The following is a 19,976-nucleotide window of genomic DNA, read 5'->3' as shown; positions in this document are numbered from 1 at the left end:
GTGCCAGGATGGACGTACCACTTGTGTGAATTCAGGAACTCCCTTTTAACAACCTTCTTATTTTGAAAAAATTTTAACGCACTGAAAAGCTAAAAGAATAGTATAATAAACTCTCAAATACCTTTTCACTGATAATGAATATTTTACTACATTTTATTCTCTCTTCTTTATAAAAACACATGCATTTCATGCATAGATGTAATCATTTTAGTTTTTGTGTATGAGCCATCATTTGAATATAAGTTTAAGTTTCAGACATCATAACCCTTTATCTGTGAATACTTTTTACCATATATTTAAGTTTTGTTTGTTTGTTTGTTTGTTTTTGAGGGTCTTGCTCTGTCATCCAGGCTGGAGTGCAGTGGTGCAATCACGGCTCACTGCAGCCTTGACTTGCTGGGCTCAAGCGATCCTCCTGCCTTAGCCTGCTGTGTAGCTGAGACCACAGGCACATGCTATCACACCCAGCTAATTTTTTAATTTTTTATTTTGTGGATACGAGGTCTTACTTTGTTGTCCAGGCTGGTCTCCAACTCCTGATTCTTGACTTCCTGGGCTCAACCTCCTCCCGCCTCAACCTCCCTAAGTGTTGGGATTTCAAGGCATAAGCCACCACACCTGGCCGGCCCATATCTCTTAAGAATAAATACATTCTCAGGCCGGGCTTGGTGGCTCAAGCCTGTAATCCCAACACTTTGGGAGGCCAAGGTGAGTGGATCACCTAAGGTCAGGAGTTCAAGACCAGCCTGGCCAACATGGTAAAACCCCATCTCTACTAAAAATACAAAAATTAGCTGGGCATGTGATGGTGAGCGCCTGTAATCCCAGCTACTCAGGAGGCTGAGGCAAGAGAATCGCTTGAACCTGGGAGGTGGAGGTTGCAGTGAGCTGAGATTGCGCCATTGCATTCCAGCCTGGGTGATAGAGCAAGACTTGGTCTCAAAAAAAAAAATAATAAATAATAAATATATTCTCTTACATTTCCTCAGAACAATTACCAAGTCACGGACATATCATTGATACAATATATTATTCATCTATTACATGATCCACATTCAAATTTTACCCTTTGTCCCAATACTGTCGTTTAAAGCATTTTTCTTTTGACCAGATCCAGGGTCTGGTCCAGGATTCTGCGTTGCAGTCAGTTGTCATATCTTTTTAGTTTTCTTTAACCTGGTAAAGTTATTCTCAATCTTTGTTGCCTTTCATTATATTGACATTTCTGAAGAGTTTGGCTGTCTGGCAGTTTTCTCATGATTAGATTCCGTTTACGCATTTTTGACAAGGATGCTGCATGAGCAATGCTGTGTCCTTCTCGGCGCATCAATGGGGAAGCACAGGATGTCGGTTTGCCCCATTATTGGTGATGCTACCTTTGATCACTTGGTTAACATGGTTCCTGCCAGATCTATCCATTGTAAAGGTTATTGTTTTTCCCCTTTGAAGTTAATCAGTGCTCTGTGGAAAAATACTTTGAGACTGTCCATTCCCCAGCAAATTTTTGCCCAATAGTTTTAGCATCCATTGATGATTCTTTTCAGAATCAATCACTACTGTAGTGGTTGCAAAATGGAGTTGACTCAACATCTAGAATTAGCTGCCATTATCTCACTTTCCACTTTAAGTAATTAAGGCTCAGAAAGGTCAAGAACTAGCCCAAGACCACAAAGCAGTGAGATTCAGACTCAGGCTTGTCTGACTCAAGAGCTTGCTGCAGCGATGACTCTCCAGCTATGGGACCTGGGATGTGATGAGATGTTCACCCACCAACATCTCCCCCACTGCACACTCCACCCCTTGCTCCCCTCCCTAAATGTGAGGCTGAGGCTCTGGTCACAGTTGGATGGAGAGAAATGGGCTGCAGGGTCAGCTTTGCAACTCCCCATCCTCCAGCCTTCCCTCTAGTCCCCGCCATGAATCTTCCAAAAACTGATATCCAGAGCAGAGGTCTCACCAAGAAGTCACCTCGATTATCCTGCCCTCTCCCCCAACACACACACACACACACACACACACACACACACACACACACACACACACACCCACACCCAGAGCTGAGAGGCTCTCTCTTCTCCTGACCTTGGAGAAGAGGGAGTATAGGGAGAGTATGTGCTTGTTATGGGTTGAGCTTTGTCAAGCAAGTAAGTGTGCATAATTGGAGCGGAGCCAGAACTCAGAGCTACAGGGCAACTGCACTTGGAAGAGATCCTGAGAATGCAGTTTGCACAGGTGTGTGAGTGTATGTGTACGTGTAGTTGAGAATTCTGTAAGGGAAAAAGAGGAGAGAGGGAGGGTGATAGGTAGTGCTTGAAAGTATGGACTTTTGCTGGGACCGGCAGTATCAACAGCACCTGGGAGCCAGTTAGAAAGGTGGAATTGAGGCCGGGCATGGTGGCTCATGCCTGTAATCCCAGCACTTTGGGAGGCCGAGGCGGGCGGATCACCTGAGGTCAGGAGTTTGAGATCAGCCTGGCCAACATGGTGAAACCCCATCTCTACTGAAAATACAAAAATTAGTTGGGCATTGTTGCACACGCCTGTACTCCCAGCTACTCGGAAGGCTGAGGCAGGAGAATCACTTGAACCCGGGTGGCGGAGGTTTCAGTCAGCCAAGATCGCGCCACTGTACTCCAGCCTGGGTGACAGAGTGAGACTCTGTCACACACACACACAAAAAAGTACGGACTCTCAGCCAGGCGTGGTGGCTCACACCTGTAATCCCAGTACTTTGGGAGGTCAAAGCAGGTGGATCACTTGAGCCGAGGAGCTTAAGACCTGCCTGGGTAACATAGTGAGACCCCATCTCTGTAATGATAGAAATAAATACAAATGTTTTTAAAACTACTGACCCAGGCTGGAAGCAGTGGCTCCTGCCTTGTAATCCCACCACTTTGGGAAGCCAAGGTGGGAGGATTGCTTAAGCCCAGGAGTTTGGACCAGCCTGGGCAACATGGTGAGACCTCATTCTACAAAAAAAAAAAAAATTAAAAAATCAGCTGGGCATGGTGGTGCATGCTTTTTGTTCTAGCTACTTGGGGTGGGAGGCTGAGGTGGGAGGCTTGCTTGAGCCCAAGAGGTCAAGGCTGCAGTGAGCTGTGATTGGGCCACTGTACTCCAGCCTGGGCAACAGAGCAAGACCCTGTCTCAAGAAAAGAAAAGAAATGGGAAGAGAAGGGGAGGGGAGGGGAAGTGGGGGCGGGGGAGTGATTCTGGAAACAGACTGCTGGAATTTTTTTTTTTTTTTGAGATGGAGTCTTGCTCTGTCGTCCAGGGTAGAGTGCAGTGGCACAATCTCAGCTCACTGCAACCTCTGCCTCCTGGGTTCAAGCAGTTCTTCTGTCTCAGCCTCCCAAGTAGCTGGGACCACAGCACCTGCCACCGCGCCTGACTAATTTTTGCATTTTTAGTAGAGATGGGGTTTTGCCATATTGGTCAGGCTGGTCTTGAAATCCTGGCCTCAGGCAATCCACCCGCCCCAGCTTCCCAAAGTGCTAGGATTACAGGGATGAGCCACCGCGCCCAGCCTGACTGCTGGAATTTGAACCTTGGGCCCACTACCAACCTGTGTAACCTTAGACAGATAAGTTACTTCACCTCTCTAGGCCTTGTTTTTGCCACCTGTAAAATGGACATAATAGTACCTACCTCATCAGGTTGTTGTGAGGAGTAAATGAATGAATCCGTGTCAAGTGCTTTGCTCAGGTGAGTTACCGCTTAGACAATGTTGGGGATGTGCTGAAGAGGAAGATGAGGTAGGTGATGTTGGCGGGCGGAGGAGCCTTGGAAGGCCTGGGCTCCAGGACAATCCCCACATTAGGAGAGAACCCAGGTTGGTTATTGCAGAGACTGTGGGTGAGAGAGAGGCAGGATGGATGACAGGAATATCCAGGCAGGGAGGGCCGGATGACTCACTCATTCACTTGTTTACACTTTTGTCTCTCACCTGCTTCCAGAAAGGCTTTGAAGTGGTTCATAATTAAAATGAAAGCCTCAGGTGCCTCAGCCTGCTGAGTCAGGAAAGACCGCGTCCTGGCTGGGGGGTGGCTTGGGCGAGGCTGGCACAGTGTGGCAGGTCCTGGGCTCACCTGGAGGGATCGGGGAGTGCAGAGTGAGGTGCAGAAGATGCCGGGGGAGAGGCCAAGGAAATAATGCAGACTGAGCCTTGACTCTGTGACCACCCAGCCCTGGGCCAGACAGAGAGGAGGTTTCATCTAAAGATTGGGCATCACCGGGTGCGGTGGCTCACGCCTGTAATCCCAGCACTTTGGGAGGCCGAGGCGGGTGGATCACCTGAGGTCAGGAATTCGAGACCAGCGTGGCCAACCTGGTGAAACCCAATCTCTATTAAAAATACAAAAATTAGCTGGGTGTGGTGGCGGATGCCTGTAATCCCAGCTACTCGGGAGGCTGAGGCAAGAGAATCACTTGAATCCTGGAGGCGGAGGTTGCAGTGAGCCGAGATCATGCCACTGCACTCCAACCTTGGCGACAAGGCAAGACGCCGTCTCAAAAAAAAAAAAAAAAAGAAAGAAAAAGAATAAAGATTGGGCATGTGTAGATTAAACCAGGGCATGTGGGAGAGAGGGGCACCAAGAAGTGGCCAGGAAAGGTCTATGGACTCTGGCTGGGCCATTGCCAGTATTTGCTCCATTGGCCGTCTTCGGGCACAGTTCATGCTGTTCAATATTGTTGGTGTCCAGGCCTGGGCCCTCCAGCTGCCAAGGCGCCAGTTTTCTCCTCCAGGAACCACCAACTTCTCTCCTCTGGAGGGAGAGCCTTTCCTCTCCAGGTCCGGATGCCTCTGGCCTCAGGCTGAAACACTTGGAGGAAATCCTGTCCAACCTCCTCCTCCCTACCCACCTTCTACCCCCACTCCTGTTCCAACAAGAGTTGGGCCCAACCTGGCCACCCTAATGCAGTCTGGGTGTCCTGGTGACCCATCTGCCTTTGTCTGGCAGCACAATGACGAGGAAGAAGTCCCCGGCCCCCACCCACTGGGAGTCCTTCTCAGGCCACCTGGGGGTCCAGCGCTTTGGCTGCCCCTCCCCCACACCACTTCCTGCCTCTTACCTTGAACATCCTGCCAGCCCCAGCCTCAGCTCAGCTCAGGTTTCCCTAGGAGCACGTTGACAGAGTCCCCACATCACACCAAGTTTTGGCAAGTCCAGCCCCACTCTGACAGACTTTCTGTCACACTTCCTTACAGCTACTTAAACTGCACTTTAGCATGTAATGGAATACCTTCCATTTAGGAAGGTGGAGGGGGTCTCCCCCAGGCAGGATTAAACATGATGACAGTTCCTAAAAGGAGGGGCTGGGATTTAGGCTAAAAAGGTAAGGCAGTCAGACCGGAGGGAGACGATCAGGAGCTTCAGGGCCAGCCTCTGCCAGCCTTGGGGGTGGGGCTGCTCAGGCAAGAGAGGAGGAACACAGGGCTTCTCTGCTGGGAGGACCCCGGCCTCCATCCCTGCTCTGCAGAAGGGAAACCCCACCTGAGGTCAAGGAAGGCGAGGTGGGAGGTAGCTGGACCAGAAAAGAAGGGAGCATCCGGGCTAGGAAGGCACTGGCCTGGGATCCTAAGCCCAGAGGCGGTCAGGCTGGGGAAGGAGAGGGAAGGGGAAAGGCAGGAGGTGCCTGGACAGATAACCATTGGGCCATAGGCTGGATAAAGGCGTTTGTATAGTCTGAGGTGCATCTATGTGGGTTGCAAAATTCCCTGTTATAAGGAGGAATCATGGGCTGCAAGGAGCAAAAACTTAGACTTGCTTAACAAAAAGCGGGGTGCTTCCTGGAAGGAAACAGGGTCTTGTCACAGTCTCGAAGTTGCAGAGTTAGAAGTGGACCTTCTAAGGGCCTAGATCTAGGAGCTTGACAGTGATAAACTGGAGTTGCTCTCCTCAACTCTCTTTCAAGCTTTCCCAGTTGCCTGCCATTCTCCTGTCTACCCTACCCCCATACTCCTGACTGGCTTCATTTGCCTCTGTCTGCATTGTGCAGTAGATAGTTGTCATTTTGAAGTGACTCAGCATCTATACCCCTTCCTAACAGCACCCAATTTCCGATGGAAGACTATTGTTAACTGTACCTGGGATTCTGTTTTTATTCAGGTATAGTGAGGCTAACAGATCAGGAGATGATTGCTGTTGAAAAGATAATTTGTGCGGGGCACAGTGACTCATGCCTGTAATCCCAGCACTTTGGGAGGCCGGGGTGGGCAGATCATGAGGCCAGGAGCCTCCTGGACCATCACAGACGCTTTGGATAACTCTTACAGTGGAAGGTAAGTCCATCCCCTTCTTAATCAATATGGAGGCTACCCACTCCACATTACCTTCTTTTCAAGGGCCTATTTCCTTGCCTCCATAACTGCTGTGGGTATTGACGGCCAGGCTGCTAAACCTCTTAAAACTCTCCAACTCTAGTGCCAACTTGGACAACATTCTTTTTTTTTTTTTTTTTTGAGACGGAGTCTCGCTCTGTTGCCCAGGTTGGAGTGCAGTGGCGGGGTCTTGGCTCACTGCAAGCTCCGCCTCCTAGGCTCATGCCATTCTCCTGCCTCAGCCTCCCGAGTAGCTGGGACTACAGGCGCCCACCACCATGCCTATTTTTTTTTTTTTTTTTGTATTTTTAGTAGAGACGGGGTTTCACCGTGTTAGCCAGGATGGTCTCCATCTCCTGACCTCGTGATCCAACTGCCTCGGCCTCCCAAAGTGTTGGGATTACAGGCGTGAGCCACAGCAGCCGGCCAGACAACATTCTTTTAAACACTCCTTTTTAGTTATCCCCACCTGCCCAGTTCCCTTATTAGGCCGAGACATCTTAACCAAATTATCTGCTTCCCTGACTATTCCTGGACTACAGCCACATTTCATTGCTGCCCTTCTTCACAACCCAAAGCCTCCTTCATGTCTTTCTCTTGTATCCTGCCACCTTAACCCACAGGTATGGGGACACCTCTACTCCCGTCCTGGCAACTGATCACATGCCCATTACTATCCCATTAAAACCTAATCACCCTTACCCTGCTCAACACCAGTATCCCATCCCACAACAGGCTTTAAGGGGATTGAAGCCTGTTATCACTCGCCTGCTACAGCATGGGCTACTAAAGCCTACAAACTCTCCTTACAATTCCCCCATCTTACCTGTCCAAAAACCGGACAAGTCTTACAGGTTGGTTCAGGATCTGTGCCTTATTAACCAAATTGTTTTGCCTATCCACCCTGTGGTGCCCAACCTGTACACTCTTTTGTCCTCAATACCTCCCTCCACAACTCACTATTCCATTCTTGATCTTAAAGACACTTTTTTCATGATTCCCGTGCACCCCTTGTCCCAGCCCCTCTTTGCTTTTACCTGGACTGACCCTGAAACCCATCAGTCCCAGCAACTTACCTGGGCTTTACTGCCACAAGGCTTCTGGGACAGCCCTCATTACTTCAGCCAAGCCCTTTCTCATGATTTACTTTCTTTCCACCTCTCTGCTTCCCACCTTATTCAATACATTGATGACTTTCTACTCTGTAGTCCCTCCTTTGAGTCTTCTCAACAAGATACCCTCCTGCTCCTTCAACATTTATTCTCCAAAGGACATCAGTTATCCCCCTCCAAAGCTCAAATTTCTTCCCCATCCATTACCTACCTCAGCATAATTCTTCATGAAAACACGCATGCTCTCCCTGCCAATCATGTCTGGCTGGTCTCTCAAACCCCAACCCCTTCTACAAAACAACAACTCCTTTCCTTCCTGGTCGTGGTCGGATACTTTCGCCTTTGGATACCTTGTTTTGCCATCTGATTAAACCATTATATAAACTCACAAAAGGAAACCTAGTTGACCCCATAGATCCTAAATTCTTTCCCCACTCCTCTTTACATTCCTTAAAAACAGCCCTAGCAGCTGCTCCCATACTAGCTCTCCCTAACTCATCCCAACCCTTTTTCATTACACACAGCTGAAGTGCAGGGCTGTGCAGTTGGAATTCTTACACAAGAGCCAGGACCACACCCTGTAGCCTTTCTGTCCAAACAATTTGACCTTACTGTTTTAGGCTGGCCCCCACATTATTCCAGATACCACACCTTACCCCCATGACTGTATCTCTCTGATCCCCCTGACATTCACTCCATTTCTGCATATTTCATTCTTTCCTGTTCCTCACCCTAATCACATTTGGTTTATTGATGGCAGTTCCACCAGGCCTGATTGCCACTCACCAGCAAAGGCAGGCTATGCTATAGTATATTCCATATCTCATTGAGGCTACTTCTCTGCCCACCTCCACTACCTCTCAGCAAGCTGAACTCATTTCCTTAACTTGGGCCTTCACTCTTGCAAAAGGACTATGCATCAATATTTATATTGACTCTAAATATGCCTCCCATATCTTGCACCACCATGCTGTCATATGTGTTGAAAGAGGTTTCCTCACTATGCAAGGGTTCTCCATCATTAATGCCTCTTTAATAAAAACTCTTCTCTAGGCCGCTTTACTTCCAAAGGAAGCTGGAGTCATTCACTCCAAGGGTCATCAAAAGGCGTCAGATCCCATCTCTCAGGGCAATGCTTATGCTGACAAGGTAGCTAAAGAAGCTGCTGGCGTTCCAACTTCTGTCCCTCATGGCCAGTTTTTCTCCTTCTCATTGGTCACTCCCACCTACTCTCCCACTGAAACTTCCACCTATCAATATCTTCCCACACAAGGCAAATGGTTCTTGGACCAAGGAAAATATCTCCTTCCAGCCTCACAGGCCCATTCTATTCTGTCGTCATTTCATAGCCTCTTCCATGTAGGTTACAAACCGCTAGCCTATCTCTTAGAACCTCTCATTTTCTTTCCATCGTGGAAATCTATCCTCAAGGAAATCACTTCTCAGTGTTCCATCTGCTATTCTACTACTCCTCAGGGATTGTTCAGGCCCCCTCCCTTCCCTCCACATCAAGCTCGGGGATTTGCCCCCGCCCAGGACTGGCAAATTGACTTTACTCACCTGCTTCGAGTCAGGAAACTAAAATACCTCTTGGTCTGAGTAGACGCTTTCATTGGATGGATAGACACTTTCACTTCACAGGGTCTGAGAAGGCCACCTCCGACATTTCTTCCCTTCTGTCAGACATAATTCCTTGGTTTGGCCTTCCCACCTCTGTACAGTCTGATAACAGACCAGCCTTTATAGTCAAATCACCCAAGCAGTTTCTCAGGCTCTTGGTATTCAGTGGAACCTTAATACCCTTTACCATCCTCAATCTTCAGGAAAGGTAGAATGGACTAATGGTCTTTTAAAGACACACCTCACCAAGCTCAGCCTCCAACTTAAAAAGGACTGGACAGTACTTTTACCTCTTGCCCTTCTCAGAATTAGAGCCTGTCCTCCAGATGCTACAGGGTACAGTCCATTTGAACTTTTATATGGATGCACCTTCTTGCTCGGCCCCAGCCTCATCCCAGACACCAGCCCTCTAGGCGACTATTTTCCTGTCCTTCAGCAGGCTAGACAGGAAATTCACCAGGCTGCTAATCTTCTCTTGCCTACTCCGGATTCCCAGCCATATAAAGACACCCTAGCTGGACGATCAGTTCTTGTTAAGAATCTGACCCCTTAAACTCTACAAGCTTGATGGACTGGACCCTACTTAGTCATCTATAGTACCCCAACTGCCGTCTGCCTGCAGGACCCTCCCCATTAGGTTCACTGATCCAGAATAAAGCTGTGTCCATCAGACAGACAGCCTGATCTCTCCTCTTCCTCCTGGAAGTCACAAGTTCTCTCCCCTACTTCCCTTAAGCTCACTCGCATTTCTGAAGAACAGTAATAACCCTTACGAGCCTAATACATCCCTTCATTCTATTAGGTCTATTCGTCCTTACCCTACTTTTTGCAACAGGGCTTTACACAGTCACCCCCAATACTTGGACTGTGCCCCAAAAACTTGTCATCCCTACTGTCTTCTGTCTAGTCATACTCTTATTCACCATTCTCAACTACTCATAAATGCCTTGCCCCTGTTTACACTGCCGGTTTACATTTTTCCTCCAAACCATCATAATGGACATCTTCTGGTACTATCCCCAAACTGCCACTTTAACTCCCTCTTGGAGTGGGTAGATGATCTTTGCTGGCAGGGCACCCTCCAATACTTTCACCCTGATGAAGTACTATTCTTTACTTTTATACTCACTCTTATTCTCTTTCCTGTTCTTATGCCACTCTCTACCTCTCCCCAGCTATCTCCACAACACTATCAGCCTCACTCACTCTCTGCAAGCCGTTTCTAATCCTTCTTTAACAAACAGTTGCTGGCTTTGCATTTCTCTTTCCTCCAAAACCACCAAGGCCTCGACTTACTCACTGCTAAAAAAAAAAAAAAAAAAAAAGGAGGACTCTATGTTTTTAAATGAAGAGTGTTGTTTTTACCTAAATCTGGCCTGGTATATGACAACATAAAAAAACTCAAGGACAGAGCCCAAAAACTCAGCAACCAAGCAAATAATTATGCTAAACTCTCTTGGACACTCTCTAATTGGATGTCCTGGGTACTCCCAATTCTTAGACCTTTAATACCTACTTTTCTCCTTCTTTTATTCAGACCTTGTGTTTTCTGTTTAGTTTCTCAATTCATACAAAACTGCACCCAGGCCATCACCAATCATTCTATACAACAAATGCTCCTGACAACCACACAATATCACCCCTTATCCCCAAAATCTTTCTTCAGTTTAATCTCTCCCACTGTAGGTTGCCACGCTGCCCCTAATCCCCTCAAAGCAGCCCTGAGAAACATCGCCCATTATCTCTCCATACCACCCCCAAAATTTTTGCTGCCCTAACACTTCACCACTATTTTGTTTTGTTTTTCATATTAATATAAGAAGATAGGAGTGTCAGGCCTCTGAGCCCAAGCTAAGCCATCATATCCCCTGTGACCTGCACATATACATCCAGATGGCCTGAAGCAACTGAAGATCCACAAAATAAGTGAAAATAGCCAGTTCCTGCCTTAACTGGTGACATTCCACCATTGTGATTTGTTCCTGCCCCACCCTAACTGATCAATTAACTTTGTGACAATACACCTTCCCCACCCTTGCAATAATGTACTTTGTGATATTCCCCTGCCCTTGTGAAGGTACTTTGTAGGATACACCCTCCCCACCCTTAAGAAGGTACTTTGTAATATTCTCCCCGCCCTTGAGAATGTACTTTGTAAGATCCAACCCCTGCCTGCAAAAAATTGCTCCTAACTTCACTGCCTATCCCAAACCTATAAGAACTAATGATAATCCCACCACCCTTTGCTGAGTCTCTTTTTGGACTCAGCCCACTTGCACCCAAGTGAAATAAACCGTCTTGTTGCTCACACAGAGCCTCTTGGTGGTCTCTTTACACGGACGTGCATGAAAGCCAGTGCATAGGCAGAACACCAGCATGGGCTGCTCACTGGCTATTTTTATGGTTATTTCTTCATTATACGCTAAACAAGGGGTGGATTATTCATGAATTTTCCAGGAAAGGGGTGGACAACTCCCAGAACTGAGGTTTCTTCTCCTTTTTAGACCATATAGGGGAACTTCCTGACGTTGCTATGGCATTTGTAAATTGTCATGGTGCTGGTGGGAGTGTCTTTTAGCAAGCTAATGCATTATAATTAGCATATAATGGGCAGTGAGGATGTCCAGAGGTCACTTTCATGGCCATCTTGGTTTTGGTGGGATGTGGCTGGCTTCTTTACCACATGCTGTTTTATCAGCAAGGTCTTTGTGACCTGTGTCTTGTGCCAACCTCCTCTCTCATCCTGTGACTAAGAATCCTACTGAGAATGTAGTCCAGGAGGCCTCAGCCTTATTTTACTCAGCCCCCATTCAAGATGGAGTTTCTCTGGTTCAAATGCCTCTGACAGTTGCCTGCTACCTGGCCCTGGAATGACTAAGGGAGAGGATTATTGCCCGATAGATTGTAAGAGTCAGACAGAAGAGGTGGTGAACAGTATGGGCTCTGGATTGGTTCATTTGCATATGAAAGGCATACTCCCCAGCTAGGTGAGTCCCTGGCTCTCTCTAAGAATCAGCTAGGCTGAGTAGGGGCACTCCATCTCCATTCAGCTAGGCCTCAGATGCCAGAGTATCAAGAACACAGAAAATAAGACAATATATTAATGCGGGGAGACCTGACCCTCTCACACTGGATGTGACCTGTGTGGGATGGTAAATCCAGGCATTTTCCTGCCTCCACAGAACCAGAGGGATGGGAACAAAGCTGGAGCTGTGAATGCTCTTCCTTTCCATGGTGTTTAAGATTTTATCTTTTTTTGCTTTTTTTGACAGAGTCTTGCTCTGTCACCCAGGCTGGAGTGCAGAGGTGTGATCATGGCTCACTGTAGCCTTGACCTCCTGGGCTCAGGTGATCCTCCCACCTTAGCCTCCTGAATAACTGGGACTACAAGTGTGCTACTGATACAGAACAGCTGGGCTCCCACCTAAACTGCACCCTCAAGCCTCAAACCTCGGCCCTAAGTGAAAACAGCTGACCCCGCTTTTCCATCCAAATGATTGCCTTTTTGGCCTGCCATGCCCCTATCCTGTGCCCATAAAAACCAGACCAGCTGGCAGAAGAAAAGAGCAACACAAGTGGCTGATGCATATTGTTGGGGATGCAAGCTGCTGAGCCTTGGGGATGTAAGTGGCTGAGTGGCAAGCAGAGGAGCAAGCAACTGAGCATCGGAGACTACAGATAGACACAGCTAACTTCAGACAGTGTGGCTTCAGGGAAAGATCACCTTCTTCTTTTCCAGCTCCCCTTCCATCAGGAGCCACTTCCACTGCTCAATAAAGCTTTCTGCATTCATCATCTTTCAAACAATTCGTGTGACCTGATTCTTCCCGGACACCGAGCCAGAACTTGGCTGTCAAAAAGGGCAGGTGCAGGAGGCTGTCACCCTGACCCTTCACTGAGCTGTTAACACTTAGCCATCCATGGACTGCAGGCTAAGTGAAAGGAGCCACTCCAGTTCCTGCCCATGAAGGGGGTCAAGGTCAAGGGAAAGAATCCTGTCTCACTACCATGCTTAGCTAATTTTTGTATTTTTTGTAGAGATGGAGTTTCACCATGTTGCTCAAGCTCGTCTCAAACTCCTGGGCTCAAGTGATCCACCAACCTCCCTAATCAGATTTGTTCTTAAGGAAATGAAAACTTAATTTTTCAAAATGTGAAAAAGACCATCTTGTGCCCTACCCCCCACCCCCTCAGCTCCTGCAGCACAAGTGCCCAGCACACCACTGTTTGTGGGATGCACTCCACACAGGCATCTCACCTACAGCTACAGGCTGGGAGGGAACCCCTGCACCAACAGCCCGGGTCATGGCATCCTCTAGTATTACTATTCCAAAACCCTCAAAGATAAGCCACTCTTACCCTACATGAGGTACAGCAGAAATGTCTGGGCCAGAGTCAAGGCTTCCAATACGGACCTGAAATTGATGGAAATTGGCAAGATTATTGGTGGAATGTGGGGAGTTGTCACTGATGAAGAAAAACAAGAATATTTAAATGAATATGAGGTAACAAAGATAGAGTACAATGACTCTATGAAGGTCTATCATAATTCCCCCACACATTTTGCTTACATAAATGCAAAAAATTTATGCAGAAGATATTTTATTTTATTTTATTTTTTGAGACAGTCTCACTCTGTCATTCAGGCTGGAGTGCAGTGGCAGGGTTAGGGCTCACTGCAACCTCCACCTCCTGGCTTCAAGCTATTCTCCTGCCTCAGCCTCCTGAGTAGCTGGGATTACAGGCATGCACCTGCATGCCCAGCTAATCTTTTGTATTTTTAGTAGAGATGGGGTTTTGCCATGTTGGCCAGGCTGGTCTTGAACTCCTGGCCTCAAGTGATCCACCCGCCTCGGCCTCCCAAAGCGCTGGGATAACAGATATGAGCCACCACATCTAGCCGTAGAAGCTGCTTTAGAGGAAAGAATTTGACAGAGGCCGTCTCACATGGAGAAAGGAGAAAGCTTCTCCTTTTGATAATACCAAATGCTGGCGAGGATACGGAGCAACAGGAACTCTCATTCATTGCTAGTGGGAATGCAAAATGGTTTGGCTACTTTGAAAGACAGTTTGGCAGTTTCTTGCAAAACTAAACATACTCTTACCATTCAATGCAGCAGTTGTACTCCTTGGTATTTACCCGAATGAGTTGAAAATTTATGTCCATACAAAAAATCTACACATGGATGTTTATAACAGCTTTATTCATAATTGCCAAAACTTAGAAGTAATGAAGATGTTTTTCAGTAGGTGAATAGATAAATAAACCTCCAGACAATGGACTACTACTTGGCAGTAAAAAGAAACACACTATCAAGACATGAAAAGACATGAAGGAAACATATTCATATCACTAAATGAGAGAAGGTGATCTGAAAAGGACTGCATCCTATATGATTCCAACCATATGACATTTTAGAAAAGGCAAGACCACGAAGACAGTAAGAAGATCAGTGGTCACCTGGGATCACCAGGGATTAGGAGGGTTGAAGGGATGAATAGAGCACAGAGGATGTTTAAGGCAGTGAAAATACTCCGCATGATACTATAATGATGTATACCTTTCATTACACATTTGTCCAAATCCATAGAATGTGCAATGCCAAGAGTGACCTTGATGAAAATTCTTGACTTTCAGTGATAATGGTGTGCTAATGTAGATTCATTCACTGTAACAAATGTACCACCATGGTACTGAATGTTGATAGTGGGAATGCTGGAGGGGACAGGAATGTGAGGGAACTCTGTACTTTCTGCTCAGTTTTGCTGAGAACCTAAAATTACTCTTTAAAAGTCTGTTAAACAGGCCGGGTGTGGCGGCTCATGCCTGTAATCCCAGCACTTTGGAAGGCCAAGGCGGGTGGATCACCTGAGGTCAGGAGTTCAAGACCAGCCTGGCCAACATGGCAAAACCCCGTCTCTACTAAAAAGACAAAAATTAGCCAGATATGATGGCATGTGCCTGTAATCCCAGCTACTTGGGAGGCTGAGGCAGGAGAATTGCTTGAACCCAGGAGGCAGAGGTTGCAGTGAGCCGAGATTGTGCCACTGTACTCCAGCACGGGTGACAGAGTGAGACTCCGTCTCAAAAAAAAAAAAAAAACCTGTTAAATAAATAAATAAGCCATCATCATAAACATCTAGATCTTCAGCAGGCTGAGAGCTCTACAAACAAAACAAAACAAAACAAAACAAAAACCCAAGGAGTACAATTGCTGAATTATGTGGTAAGAGTACATCTAATTTTGCAAGAAACTTTCAAACTGCCTTGCAGCCTCCTCAGGAGGCTGAGGCAGGAGAATCACTTGAAACCGGAAGGCGGAGATTGCAGTGAGCCAAGATCATGCCACTGCTCTCCAGCCTGGGCAAAAGAGCGAAACTCCGTCTAAAAAAAAAAAAGAGAGACAAGATCTTGCTCTAATGCCCAGGCTGGGGTGCAGTGGCATGATCTCAGCATGGGGAGCATGACATTGGCTCGCTGCAACCTCCGCCTCCCAGGTTCAAGTGATTCTCCTGCCTCAGCATCCTGAGTAGCTGGGATTACAGGCACGCGCCACCATGCCTGGCTAATTTTTGTATTTTTAGTAGAGACGGGGTTTCACCATTTTGGCCAGGCTGGTCTTGAACTCCTGACCTCAGGTGATCACCAGCCTTGGCCTCCCAAAGTGCTGGGATTACAGGCATGAGCCACCATGCCTAGCTAAAGTTGTCTAGTTTTATGTGTTCTAAATATGTTTATAAATGGAAAAAAAGTTTTTTGAGTGAAGGGAGAAAAATACAGGCAGACTCCTCTCACCATCGCCATATATCCAGGTTTGGGCACCTGAGTGAAGTTTGACTGGTCAGATGCTCTTGCCCAAGACTATGAGTCCCACAGGAAAGACACAGAAGAGGGAGAAATGGATGGAGGTCATTCACCCAGCAGTGGGGGCCTGACCAGACTATTCTGACTATTCTGGTGTGAGTCTGTTCCATTGCTCCTCCTCCTTTCTGGCCCCCTGGTTCTCTGGCTTTCAGAGACTACTTCCAATACATTCCATTTTGCTTAAGTTATCCATTTACATTAATATTGGTTTCTGTTGCTTGCAATCAGGAAACCTAACTGAAACATGTCAGCCACTATTCAACATTTTCTTCCAGTGCAATGATGACAAGCTGGAGTTGCTTATCCCAACTTCAAATTCCTGGGAGAACCAATCTGATTGGCCAGCTTGAGTGGGATCTCCACTGCTGGTCCAATCAGCCTGGCTTCCAAGGAAGGCAAGGTCACATGACGCTAATAAGGCTAATGGGAGGCTGGCAGGGCAGTATCCACATTTGGTTATGCAGGCTGTGCAGTGGATAACTCCAAGGGTCCCATTCACATGAGAGACACTGTAAATACCTGTATTCATAATGAAACCACTTTAGCAGATGGCAATAAAGTATGCTGAGAAAGTACACTTTTTCCTAACACTCATATAAGTATTCCACAGGATAGCGGTGACCCCAGGCTGGGCCCACTCCTCAGGAGGCTGAGGCAGGAGAATCACTTGAAACCGGAAGGCGGAGGTTGCAGTGAGCCGAGATCATGCCACTGCACTCCAGCCTGGGCAGGAAAGGTGTTTGGTAGGCAGTTCTTAGAGAAGATAGCAAAGGTTGGGTATGTCCCAATGCTGTGTTCCACATGTCACACATAGCGGGGTGGGTCTGGTGGCCTTGATGTCTGGAGCACACATACCATATCCTCTTAATGTGCAGTAACTGGCTATGAGGCACCCAATGTTTAGAAAGTAGCTCAAGGCTTTAAAATGAAAGAGCATAAGACATGGACAAGCCAGGCCCTGCTCAAGGAATTTAGAGCTGCTGTACAGACCAATCTCAGCCAAACCCACCAAAAGGTTTATCTTCTCTGTAGCTACCTTAAAAAAGGTTCATTCATTCAATGAATTGCTGTGTGTCAGTTCTGTGTTATGGGCTGGGAGGAGAACAGGAATAAGAGTCAGGGTTGGGGCCAGGTGCGGTGGCTTATGCCTGTAATCCCAGCACTTTGGGAGGCCAAGGTGGGCAGATCCACTGAGGTCAGGTGTTCAAGACCAGCCTGGTCAACATGGTAAAATGCCGTCTCTACTAAAAATACAAAAATTAGCCGGGTGTGGTAGCACATACCTGCAATCCCAGCTACTCGGGAGGCCGAGGCAGGAGAATCGCTTGAACCCGGGAGGCAGAGGTTGCAGTGAGCCAAGATTGTGCCACTGCACACAAGCCTGGGAGAAAGAGTGAGATTCCGTCTCAAAAACAAAACAAAACAAAACAAAACACAACAACAACAAACGAGTCAGGGTTGCTGGGCGCAGTGGTTCACACCTGTAATCCCAGCACTTTGGGAGCTGAGGCAGGAGGATCACCTGAGGTCAGGAGTTCAAGACCAGCCTGGCCCACATAGCAAAACCCCATCTGTACTAAAAATACAAAAAATAGCTGGGTGTGGTGGCACTTGCCTGTAATCCCAGCTACTCAGGAGGCTGAGGCACAAGAATTGCTTGAACCTGAGAGGTGGAGGTTGCAGTGAGCCAAGATTGTGCCACTGCACTCCAGCTTGGGTGACAGAGTGAAACTATATCTCAAAAAAACAAAAACAAAAACAAGGAAAAAAGAGTCAGGGTCTAGTCTAGTAGGGGAGACAGTCATGGAGCAAATATTTCCTAAGTGATGGGTGTTCTGCCCAGGGTATTGGGAGACTGCTGGCACAATAAAAGGATCAGACTTATCTAGACGTCAGGAAAAACCGAAGAGTGAGTAAAATACAGCCAAGTAAAAAGTGAGGTAGAGGAAGTGGGATTTACTTAAGCTATAAGGCAAGTTCCTGTTAGAAACTAAAAAATGCAATGTGTCAGATAAGGTAGAAGTTCTTTCTGTCTCCCATAATGGTCTAGAGGAGGATAGGGGTTCAAGACCAGTGGCGGCCTGGCTCCAGGAAGGCAGACCAAAATAACAGTGGATGACCCAAGACAGAGATGTACTTCTCTTTTCCACGTAGAGGTCCAGAGGTAGAGAGGGCAGGTTTGGTGCAGAAACTGCTCCATGAAGTTCTCAGGAACCGTATCTACCAGGGCTCAACCAGGGAAGTAGAACCACTGCAAATATCATGGAATGAATGATTATTATAGGAATGAGATTTTACACAATTGTTGGAGGAGACGGAGAAGTAGAGGTCACAAAGGGAGTTGTAGGATGGTGGGAAAATCACTTATCGGCCCTTGGAAAGCACTGGTTGGGGGTGGAGGGGAGACAAGCTGGAGCTTGCTGGAAAATGAGGAAGATAAGTTTATCTTGCTTCCTGCAGTGGAAGAGAGAAAGGGAGCCACTGTAAAAAGTCAACAGAAGATTGTTGCTTCTTCATAGATTCTACTTCTGTGAGTTCTCACCTGGTGTCTAGTGGTAGGCCTCTGCTGGTGATAAGAGATGTCAGTGAGGAAAAAGAGCTGATCACAGAGTCGGGAAGAAGAGTAAGAACGAAGTAGAGACCAGGTGCAGTGGCTTATGCCTGTAACACAGCACTTTGGGAGGCCGAGGTGGGAGGATCACTTGAGCCGAGAAGTTTGAGAACAGCATGGGCAACAAAGTGAGACCTCGTCTCTACCAAAATAAAAACAAAAAAATTAGCCAGGCATTTTGGTGCCCGCCTGTGGCCCCAGCTAAACAGAAGCCTGAGGCAAGAGGATCGCTTGAGCCCAGAAGGTCAAGGGTGCAGTGAGCCATGTTCATGCCCCTGCACCCCAGCCTGGGCAACAGAGTAAAACCCTGTCTCAAAACAAACAAACAAACAAACCAAAACAGTTGGAACTCTGGAACCTTTGCATTGCTCTCTCACTGCCTGTAGCCATGACAACCTTCAGAAGCATAAAACCTTCAGACTTGCTTTACTTCTAACTTCCAAATCTTGAGCAAATTTCCTTAGGCCAACTCCAACCCAGAACCATGCAGGGAAGGGTATTCTGGGAAAAGTAGTCTCAACTTAACCAAGGCGACACAATACAAAACCACCACGAGGACCCAGACCCTGTAGTTCACCACTTGACATCCCCTCCTCCTGCTAATTCCTCCACTTTGTGCCTACATAAGGGAGGAGTCAGCCTTGGGAAGTGGTATTTCAGGAGCAGCAGAACCTGGAGACCCAACAGGTTCATCCAAAGGCACATCCTCTTCTGCTTAAGTAAACTGGGAGGGAAGGGATAGGAGAGGAGGTTGAGGGTGTGGCAGAATTAGACCCAGATAGTAACTCTCTCCCCAGATACCTATCACCAGCCAAGAGAATGACACATCCAGAGTAATATGAGCTCAGAAAGAAAAATAATACATCCAAATAATGTAATCCTTTTAAAAGAGGACCCCGAAAATGAAGAACCTATATGAGAGGAAGCGGAATTAATGGACCAGTGAGAACAAGAATTTAAAATAATCCTTATAGGCTGAGCACGGTGGCTCACGCCTGTAATCCCAGCACTTTGGGCTACCAAGGCGGGCAGATTGCCTGAGCTAAGGAGTTTGAGACCTGCCTGGGCAACATGGTGAAAACCTGTCACTACAAAAAAATTTTAAAAAAATTAGCCGGGTGTGGTGGCACACCCCTGTAGTCCTAGCCACCTGGGGCTGAGGTGGGAGGATCACTTGAGCCTGGGAAGTTGAGGCTGCAGTAAGCTGAGATTGCACCACTGCAATCCAGCCTGAGTGACAGACCAAGCCCCCATCTCTGAAAAATAAATAAGTAAATAAAATAAAATAATCAAAATAAAATTCTTCTAGGAAATAATGGAGAATGTTACACATTTTAAAAAAATTATTATCTAATTTTTTTTATACAGAAAGGGTTTCTCTCTGTCATACAGGCAGGAATGCAGTGGCACAGTCATAGCTCACTGAAGCCTCAAACTCCTGGGCTT

General features: G+C 47.1%; 1 long non-coding RNA gene and 1 pseudogene across 1 annotated transcript, besides 2 other annotated features; one reads left to right on the top strand and one right to left on the bottom strand.

The window, feature by feature from the left end:
- Positions 1-1,011: 1,011 nt before the first annotated feature.
- LINC01514 (long intergenic non-protein coding RNA 1514) lies at positions 1,012-18,837 on the bottom strand. The gene is made up of 6 exons (NR_120620.1): positions 18,462-18,837; positions 18,057-18,170; positions 13,414-13,469; positions 3,947-4,088; positions 3,649-3,849; positions 1,012-1,461 (listed from the first exon to the last, which is right to left on the bottom strand). It is a non-coding gene; the product is annotated as a long intergenic non-protein coding RNA 1514 (long non-coding RNA).
- Positions 4,244-4,850: an enhancer, noted in NCBI's record as "H3K27ac-H3K4me1 hESC enhancer chr10:102950066-102950672 (GRCh37/hg19 assembly coordinates)". NCBI's record gives its function as "activates a minimal SCP1, AML or CMV promoter by ChIP-STARR-seq in primed H9 embryonic stem cells {active_cell/tissue: H9 hESC(primed)}" and the evidence as "EXISTENCE:reporter gene assay evidence [ECO:0000049][PMID:30033119]".
- Positions 11,754-12,375: an enhancer, noted in NCBI's record as "OCT4-NANOG-H3K4me1 hESC enhancer chr10:102942541-102943162 (GRCh37/hg19 assembly coordinates)". NCBI's record gives its function as "activates a minimal SCP1, AML or CMV promoter by ChIP-STARR-seq in naive H9 embryonic stem cells {active_cell/tissue: H9 hESC(naive)}" and the evidence as "EXISTENCE:reporter gene assay evidence [ECO:0000049][PMID:30033119]".
- On the top strand, positions 13,165-13,956 carry SMARCE1P7 (SMARCE1 pseudogene 7; annotated as a pseudogene).
- Positions 18,838-19,976: the final 1,139 nt, after the last annotated feature.

Source organism: Homo sapiens, chromosome 10, assembly GCF_000001405.40.
Source record: "Homo sapiens chromosome 10, GRCh38.p14 Primary Assembly".
NCBI lineage: Eukaryota > Metazoa > Chordata > Mammalia > Primates > Hominidae > Homo > Homo sapiens.
Note: the sequence above shows the minus strand (reverse complement) of the source record. Positions and strands in the feature narration are given on the sequence as shown.